At 41.6% G+C, this 10,195-nt stretch overlaps 1 annotated feature.

The window, feature by feature from the left end:
• Positions 9,224 to 9,761: an enhancer, noted in NCBI's record as "OCT4-NANOG hESC enhancer chr1:77319872-77320409 (GRCh37/hg19 assembly coordinates)". NCBI's record gives its function as "activates a minimal SCP1, AML or CMV promoter by ChIP-STARR-seq in primed H9 embryonic stem cells {active_cell/tissue: H9 hESC(primed)}" and the evidence as "EXISTENCE:reporter gene assay evidence [ECO:0000049][PMID:30033119]".

Here is a 10,195-nt window from a genome sequence, read left to right as displayed (position 1 = left end):
ATTGTGTATGTGACTGCTTTGTAAACTGTGAAGCTCTGCATAAACTAAGGTGATAGTAACTCATTCATTAATTCAACAAATATGAATTGAGCATCTACTGTGTGCCAGGTATTATTCTAGGTCATGGAGATATGAATAAGACACACACAGACTCTGCCTCATCAGGTTTATATTTAAGCAAGGATGATAAACTAATACAATAGGGCCAGGCATGGTGGCTCACACCTGTAATCCTAACACTTCGGGAAGCTGAGGTGGGAGGATTGCTGAGCCCAGGAGTTCAAGACCAGCCTAGGCAACATGGTGAGACCCTGTTTCTACAAAAAAATACAAAAATTAGCTGGGCAAGGTGGTGCATGCCTGTAGTCCCAGCTACTTGGGAAGCTGAGGTGGGAGGATTTGCTTGAGCCTGGGAGGTCGAGGTTGAAGTCAGGCATGATTGTGCCACTGCACTCAAGCTTGGCTGACAGAGCAAGACCCCGTGTCAAGAAAAAAAGAATGTCAGATGCTAGGAAGAAAAGCAGGGGAAGCAGTTAGAGATTGAAGTGTAGGAGCTGTTGTAGCTAGGATGGCAACAATTGAGCAGATAAATGAGTGAAGTAAGAGAGTGAGCCATGAGGCTATCTGGAGGAAGGTCATCCCATGCAAAGGGAACATCACGTGCAAAGACCATGAGACAAGAGAGAGCTTGCCTAAGACCTTGCTTGGCATGTTGGAGAGACAGCAAGGGGGCTAGTGAGGCTGGAATAAAGGGAGCCAGAGAGTGGTAGAGGAGGATGACAGAGAGGCAGTCTGGAGCCAGATATCTAGGACCTTGTCAGCCATGAAACAGATGGTGTGAAGGAATCCCACCTGAAGGTTTAAGGCAGGTGAAGATTATGGATCCGTAATGCCTTGGAAAGATCACCTGACTGCTGTGCTGAGAATAGCTTTTGGAGAAGGGAGAGTGGAAACAAGGAGATCAGTTTGGCTATATTGCAATGGTCTAGGTGAAAGGAGGTCATAGAACTTTTACAAGTGACTGAATTCAAGATTTGGTGATTACTGGGTATGAGACATTATAATAGAAGTAGAGAGGAGGGGAGGAAAACTGCAAGGCTTGTGGACTGGGCAGCTGGAGAATGGAGCTGCTATTTCCAGTATGGGGAACACTGTGAGAGAAGGATTAGGGGGCTGTGGAGGGAGAATTTGGATGTAGACACAATCAGTGTGAGATGTCACAGGCACTTGCAGTTCAGTATGATGTTGGGCTTAGAGATGTGAAATGAGTATCACAAGTGGAATGGATGAGATCACCTAGGAATAAGCCACAGAATAGAAGAGGTCACAGGCCTGAGCCTTGAGAGTTGCAAGTTTCAGTTGCCAAGAAAAGGAGGAATCTTAGTAACCACAGTATTGAAAAACAATAAATGACTATCAGAACTTGATTTGATTTAGGTGGCTGATTATTTTCATTTTTAATGGATTCTTCCATGCCAACACAGTCATTTATGTTCTCAAAGCACTTTTCAAATTTTATTATTGCACTAAGCAGATTTAGTCATATCTATTCACATGTTTATTGTTGATCCTCTCTTCTAGACTATAAATTTTCTATGTCTTATTACTGTTTATATCCACCAAGGCTGGCACATAACTGAGGATAATAATATTAATCACTAACATTTAGCTAGCCCTTACTATGCACCAGCACCATTCTAAGAACTTTGCTTGTATCAACTTATTTAGTCCCTACAACAACCTCATGAAGTAGGTACTATTACTATCCCCATTTCACAAATGAGTGAACTGAAAATCAAAGAGTCATTTGTTCAAAGTCACCCAGATAGTAGATGGTAGCGTTGGGCTAAATAAACATTTGATAAAACAAATAAATTTTTGTTAAACGGTGAATGAATAAGCCAGACATGGTGGCTCACACCTGTAATTACAGCACTTTGGGAAGCTGAGGCAGGTGGATAGCTTGAGCAAAGGAGTTCAAGACCAGCCTGGGCAACAAGGTAAAACCCCATCTCTACAAGAAATACAAAAATTAGCCAGGCATGGTGGTCTGCACCTGTATTTCCAGCTACTAGGGAGGCTGAGGTGGGAGGATCACCTGAGCCATGGGTGGTCAAGGTTGTGGTGGGCCGAAATCAGGCCACTGCACTCCAGCCTGGGCAACAGAGTGAGACCTTGTCTCAACAACAATGCAACAAAGACAAAAGAATGAATAGAAGCTTTCCGAGAGTTCCAATAACCAAGTTCTACTGAACCCTAAATTGGTCTGATTTACAAGAATACTGCATGTATAGTTAAAATCCAACCTTTAGATAGTATAACCAAAGGCAGTTCCTCATTTTATGAGGTACTTTTTTTTGCTACTTTTATTTTTTAAGATATATACATACAATAAAATGTGCAGAATTTAAGTGTATGGTTTGATGTGTTTTGACAAAATTATACACTTTTTAACTACCACCACTGTCAAGATATAGATCATTTCTGCCACTCCAGAGAATACCTTCATACTTCCTACGAGTCATACTACCTCCAACCAAAAGGCAAACACAGAGACATTGTTTTGAGTTTTATCTGCCTATTCTGTAAGTTAATATAGATGACATCATACAGCATATACCTTTTATTCTGACTTATTTTACTTAGCATAATATTTTTGAGATTTATCCATGTTGTTGAGTGTATTAATAGCTTATTCCTTTTTATTGTTGAATACTATTCTACTGTGTGACTGCAGCAATATTTAAAAAAAAAATCCTTCCTCCCGTTAATGAACATTTAGTTTGTTTCCAGTTTGGGGTTCTTACGAGCAAAACTATTAACTTAGGAGTGGAGTGGTTGTATCATACAATAGGCATCTAGTCAACTTTAGAAGGCTGTCAAACAGTTTTCCATAGTGGTTGTACCATTTTATATTCCCACCTGCAATGAATGAGAGTTCCAGTTGGTTCCACATCCTTGTCAAGCCCTTGATGTGGTCAGTCTTTCTAGTGTCCTTTGCCTTTCAAAAGGTTTATACAGTTTTCAAGATAAAGACCCAAATCTTGGCCGGGCGCAGTGGCTCATGCCTGTAATCCCAGCACTTTGGGAGGCCGAGGCGGGTGGATCACGAGGTCAGGAGATCAAGACCATCCTGGCTAACAGAGTGAAACCCCGTCTCTACTAAAAATACAAAAAATTAGCTGGGCATGGTGGCGGGAGCCTGTAGTCCCAGCTACTCGGGAGGCTGATGCAGGAGAATGGCGTGAACCCGGGAGGCGGAGCTTGCAGTGAGCCGAGATCCACTGCACTCCAGCCCGGGTGACAGAGTGAGACTCCGTCTCAAAAAAAAAAAAAGACTCAAATCTTTGCTTAGCACACGGGATCCTTACTGACTTTGCACTCACCATTCCCTTTTAATCTCACCTCCTAATTTCTACACAAGAACCCTTGGAACTAGTCATGAAACCTGTTCTTCGAATTCACAGTCTTTACACTCATTGAGTCTTCTAAGGAGTCCCTCCACCCCTCCACCTCCTCCTCTCTCCTCATGTCTGCCTGTGCCCCTCCATCAGCCTCCCTTACTTCCTCAACTTCCAGTAGAATAGTGAGGCTCCTCTTTTATGCTTCCATAGTTTGGTTAAGAGAACAAGCTTGTATCACGCAGACCAGGTTTGGCCCAGCCTCTCACACTTAACTCCCGTGCCACCAAGAGAAGCCACTGATTTTTTTGTTCTCAATTTCCTCATTTGTAACAGGCTGGTCATTAAACCTTTCTAGCAAAGTGGCTGTACAGACAAAATATACTAATGTATGCAAAGTGTTCATCACAATTTTGGGTATACAGAAGGGTCCATCTAAAGGTAGGTTTGCCATAAGGGATTGCTTGTTTGGTATAAAGGGAGGCACATTCATCTTTCAAATGTTTATTGAGCTTATAATAAAAAACAAGAGTTAGTATGGACGTGTGTGCCTGCTGTCAGGCACTGTGCTCAATACAGGCAGCAGCTTATTTCACCCTCACCGTCACTGTCTGAGGCAGGTAATGGTGTCATCTCCATCTTACCAACAAAGACATGGAGATGTAGAGAGGTGAGGCCATTTGCCCAAGGTCACTTGGCCAGAACTTGACAGATCAAGATTTGGCTAGGTCTGTGTCACTGCAGAGCCTTCTCTCACGTACTCCACATTCCACACTCCACTGTTTCCAAAATGTTCTGACTCTAGGCTAAGCCCTCCTCTAAATGTTGGGGTTGCGAGGAAGAGTAAGACAGCCCTCACTGAGGAAGACAAGCCGATAAGCAGATACTGCTTTTTGGTTGTTGTTCAGCTTTTATTTTAAGTTCCAGGTACATGTGTGGGATGTGCAGGTTTGTTACATAGGTGAACGTGTGCCATGGTGGTTTGCTGCACAGATCAACCCATCACCTAGGTATTAAGCCCATGTAAGCAGATAGTTCTAACCCAATGTGCTAAGTGTAAAGATTGAGTTACAAACGAAGAAGTGGAAGGGGCACAGAAGAGGGACACGCAGCCTTGTGAGAGTGGTTCACATATAATCTCTGGCAGAAAAGAAATGCTCAGCTGGTTTTAAAGGAACATCAGAAGCAAGCCAGGAGAAGTCAGTGTTTCCAGGCAGAGAGGACAGCATAAACAGAGGCATGGAGCCTCGTGGTAGGTGCTGGGAAAAGACAAGCACTTCGTGAGTGAAGCAGGGAGTTGTCAGAGCCAAGATGGTCTATACAGTTGCGCAGGATGTGCAGTGCCTGAGGATGTACATCTAAATAGGCATCACCCATCGTACATGTTGCAGATTCGTGTATTTATTCTGTCAGTTTCCTTGAAGATGACACTTAAGCATTTTGCTTTACCTGATATCAGAGCGTCACAACAATTTTCCAGTAGATAAAAGTAAAGTGTTGCAAGTAACAGGGGCCTATATAAATATGCATAAAAGTATTATTTGGGCTGGGAGTGGTCTGCTCAGAATTTCTTTCTAGGTGAATGTCACTGAAGATAGATAGTGAGAAGTGTGGATTTGTTGGGAGAAAGAGTGGAGTCAGAGAGCAGCTAGGAGACTATTGTAGAAATTCAAGTGAGAGATGAAGGCTTCAGCCAGATCAGTGTTGGCTTGGGATGGATTCGAGAAATTCTTAGGCAGGTATTATGTTACAATGGCTAAAGTGGATTAAATCCTAACTTTGTGAAGAGGATTTATAAATACAAAGTGTGCTTTTTTCCATGCAAAATGGTGTGTATAATTCTGGTCAAATTTCAAAATGATACATGATAAGAAGAAAAAATGGCTTACATCTTGTCTTAGTTTGAGTTCTCTCAGAAGCATACCCTAGGATAAGGATCCATGTGCAGTAATATTTGGCAGGTGAAAGAAACCCCATTGGGAGAGTAGGGAAATGGCACAGGAAGGGAAGGCGGCCAATTCATGCTGCATTATCAAACAAGTTACTACTATAGGCAACTGGAGCTCAATCCTGCTGGGAACCTCCTGGCAGCCAGTGTGGCACTCAGGCCTCAGTTATTCCACCTGAGGGGTGAGGGAGTAGTGGTATTTATTTGGTTGAGGACTGCTCTGGGCATGTGGCGGTGGGCGTTGATTCCTTGGCAGAACAGGTGGAAAAGCAGGTGGGCCCTGGAGGCTGGAAAAATCCCTCAGGCAGACATGCAGGTGCTGGAAGTTTAAAGTCCCCAGTTTGCACTGAAGTGGTAAAGGCACAGGGATGAGGGCGGGGCATCAACAACATCTGCTGCACATGGAAATTACTCTGTAAAGTTCTCAAAGGAATCAAATTCATTATGTCACTGGAACCTCCCAATAACCTTGTGAAGTAGAAATATGTGTGGTTTCCAACTAAGGCTGTATCTCTTAGGAATGGTCAGTTCCTCCTCCTCCTTCCACAGCTGATGTTCCAAATAGAGATGTCTCTTGTCACAGCCTTTCTCCTTTTTCTCATTACTGATTTGTTTAGATTCCTGTCTCCTGATCTAGATTGTGAGCAGTTGCATTTAGAAATTTTTTTATTACTCACCTTTGTTTTCCAGTGCCTCGCGAAAAGTAGGTGCTTAGAAAATGTGACTGTGAATGAACAACTGAATGATTATTATCATCATCACCATTTTAACTTTTTTTTTTTTTTTAAGCTTAGGACTGAGAGAGCTAAGCAACGTATCTAAAGTTACCCATCCGATTAGTGGCATCAGGGCTTGAACTCAGCCCTTCCACCTTCTTCTCGAAAGCATGCCTAATCTCTGTTGGGGATTCATAAACCCCACCGGCATATTAAATGTGGCGTATTTGAGGATAGGCCAACAACTATGAAGGAAGACCAGGACACTTCAGAAAGGGGAGCTGCTTTTCACATTGGGAATAGATATTGTATTTTATTATTTATAGTGTCTCAAAGTAAAATGAGGAAAGATAAATAGGGGCAAATGCTGTGACTCCCTCTAAAAGAAAACAGATATTTCTTCCAAATATTAAAGACAAGGGACCATCCCTGCAGGACCCAATATAACAATCTGAAGCTGAATGAGAAGCTGTGCTGTAAACTCCCTGCGCTCCTGGCTAAACCAGGGAGTCAAGGGTGATGACGGCACACATTGAGGAAGGCAGGCTCTTTTGTGCTTTTAGTAGAGCGTGCAACATAAGGGGTAGCAGCTGCAGGAAGGAAAATTAGTTCGAGTTTTCAAAATGAATTTAAACAAGCATTCTTGAGTGGCCTTGCAATATTTCTGCTAATGTAAAAGGCATGATTGATCTACATGTGTTTTTCTGCCTCTTTTCACACGTTAATTTATATCATCCTGGTGTCTTCTTACTTTTGTTTGGAAATGTTGCATATGCCATTTAAAATAGCGGATTTTATTTAAGCAGCATTGAAATGTTAAACTTTAAAAAGTCAACATTCATTTAAAGAGTCAATTTGAACCTTGCCTCCTCATCAAAAGATCTAAATTTGTGATTTTCAAATGTCTTTTTATCTGTGTTACCTCCATTTTACCTCTGTGTAAGATTATGGGTACAGGCTTCACTGTTGACTAGGTCTGTGTTTCAATCCTAGCCCTGCCACTTATAGATTGTGACCTTGAAAAAGATACTAAATCTCTCTAAATGCCAGTTGTCTCATCTATGCTAGGGAGGTGGCAATAGTTCCTCAGAGGGACCATTTTAAGGATTAAATGAGACAATGAGAAGAGTTTCTAAAATGTATACGGTATAGCATTTCCATATACTTAATCCTCATAACAGTTCTTTCAGGTAGGTATTGTTATTATCTCCCATTTACAGATAAGAAAACTGAGTCACAGATCAGCATCTTGCCTAAGGTCACACTAAAGCCCAGGGTCACACAGTTACTAAGTGGTAGTGTCAGAATTTGGACCTTGGCACATAATTAACTTAAAACAAATCATATTAAGTATTATTGTAAAACTCTGACCTGGAGGCTGATGACATGAATTTAAATTGAAGCTGCTGTGGTTGACATCGGATTAGGAAGCCCAGATCTTTTTCTGCCCCATGAGACGGCCACCGAGGCACTTCCTTGGAAAACAAGCGTACCTTGGAAACAACAAGACTTCCTAATGCTGGGAGAGAAATGCAAACATTAATAAAAAGAAGTGAAAACAGGCTGATGGATCCCTGTACATTATGTTCTGTTTGTACTGTCTTATGGACACTTCAGAAGTAACTACGTCTCCTTTTGTTCCACAAACAGACAGCTGTTATCTCTTAAGGTGACAGACAAGAGCCATGACAGCAGTTTTCTGGGGGACCCATTTTTATAAGATCCACACATAAGTATGTCAGTGGCACAACCAGATGGTTTTGCATTAAAGGTTGTGCCTAAATGACAATTTAAACTGTTTGAAAAATGTTAATTCATTGTTTCATCCATTCATTCATTCAACAAATATTGAGAGTACAAATAATGAATCAGACACAATTCTAGTGTGGGCTGAAGATATCGAAGCAGAAACCCAGCTATAGACCCTTACACCTCCTCCCTCTATGTCACCTTGGCACTTGCAAGTCCCCGCACCACCCACCCTGCCTACTTATTTCCTTCTGTGTGCAGTTTGGATGACTACTTTGTTGCACCCTCTCAACCCAGATACTGGCATCTTTTCCTACGTATACTTATATGTTCGGTGGTGCTTCTATTTTCTCTTCCAGTAAAGCATATGCATCGTTTCATTCTCTATTTTCAGTCCCGCCCTCCCACTGCCTTCCAACCAGGACTAACTTAACATGTAAATTTATTTCTCTTTCCACATCAGGTAGAAGGATAGGAGCTCATTTAACGTGGTGTCTTTGAAGGGAGAGGGCTGCCACAGCACTGAATTTGCTAGATTATCATGAGGCTTAACCTCAATAACTCATTTAACACCTAGCACAGGCCCTGGCACATAGTAGGCCCTCAGTTACATGTCATTTCCCCTCTTTAGCAACATGGTAGCTGAAATGAAATACTGTGAGATCATTTACCATTTATGTATTGTTATACATCTAGGGCTTAAATATATGGAAGCCATTTCTTCCTTTTGTAAGTTATCATCAAATAGAATTTATGAACCCTCAGATTCATGGGGTTGGGATGAAGAGTTTAAAATTAAAGCAATAAAGCCACAGTCTGTACTTTTGCTCTGAACTTCTTTTACACACATTTTTGCAGCTAATAATAATATTTTCCAGTTGTAAAGCCTATTTTTGACTTGGACATTTGCTACCATGGTTGGAGTTGTTTCATACTTATATTAACTGGTTATATGTACCAATGAGTTGAGTTCTAATTTTTCATGCATAAATTTGGTGCCTGGATTTATAAGCATTGTTACATGGACAGGGCAGCTGAAAAGTGAGATTTGAATAGAAGCGACTTGACATGCCATGGTTTTTAGGAATAATTACTTAATTAATTAATCTATTAAGCATGTACTGAGAGCCTGTGCTGTGACCGGCAGTAGGCTAGGTGCTGATAGTACAAACATGGAAGTGTTTCTCAGAAAGTTCATAGGCCATCAGCAGAGACAGTTCCATAAAGAAATGCTGTGTGGCGTGTGGAAAGTACAACAGCAGTATCTTTATGGTACTGTGGTAGCAAAAAAGCAGGAGCAATCAACTCATCATATCTTAAAATAAAGTTTTTGTTATTATTTAGGTATGATGAGGCCAACAGATCAGGAGATGAATAGATAGAAAAAATAGTTGCACTCAGAAACTTCAAGAGGAGAGGGTACAATGTGCTATGAGAGGCCATGTGGGGAAGCACTAGGGTCGATCAGGAGGTGGGGGTGGAGGAGGATGGAAGGGGCAATGTGGGCAACAGCCTTTCTTGTGATTAGACAAAGCAGAGTGAGCAGATTTAGGATTGGCTAGTTTGAATAATTTCAGCAGTCTCTGGCGTAAGGGCTGTTTCTAGTTGTCTGGTACCTGGCCCTGGGGTGATTCCGGCAGGTAGATGAGAGCTGATAAAGAAGGCAGTTGGGGGTACAGCCTCTGGATTGGTAGTTTGCATATCAAAGGCATGCTCCCAGGCTAGTTGTTTGCTCTCACTAGGAATTAGCTAACCCTTGAAGGGGCAGTCCCTCCAGGGAGACAGCAAGGCCTAAAATGTCAAAGTGTCAAAATAAACAAAATAAAAAAAACATGGTTAATACGACTATATGGGGCCAGAGCAGAGGCCTAAACCAGAAATAGAAGAACTTTCTGGGCAGAGGGTTTATCTTACACAAATGCCCAGGTACATGGAAGAATTTGTTTGTGTTTCCATATATTTGGAACCCGTAGTGAGGATACAACAGGAGCAGTAAGACTGGAGTGATGGTGTAGGGGTGGTGGTGTAGGCAGGGATCAATTCATGAAATTCACCTGGCTAAGGAATTTGGACACTATTTTAAAGTGAGTGGGGAATTGCTTAAGGGTTTTACATAGGAGGGTGACAATGATTTCAGTTTACTTCTGTTTGGTGAAAACCTATGTTACTAAATCTAAGCTACTTAAAAATTAATGAGGTTTCACATTTCATATTTGTAAGATAAACAACATGATATGTTTAGCACTACCAATGGTTATGTAAAAAATGTTTACTCTTTCTCTTCTAGGGTTATAAATCCTTAGTGTTTTTCCTGCACCCACAAAGCAAGCAGGTAGTATAGCAGAGAGTACACAGTGATAAAGCAGTAATTAGAGGACCAG

This window comes from Homo sapiens, chromosome 1 (assembly GCF_000001405.40).
Source record: "Homo sapiens chromosome 1, GRCh38.p14 Primary Assembly".
In the NCBI taxonomy this organism is placed as follows: domain Eukaryota; kingdom Metazoa; phylum Chordata; class Mammalia; order Primates; family Hominidae; genus Homo; species Homo sapiens.
The sequence above is the reverse complement of the archived record's forward strand: the minus strand, read 5'-3'. Positions and strand labels throughout refer to the sequence as shown.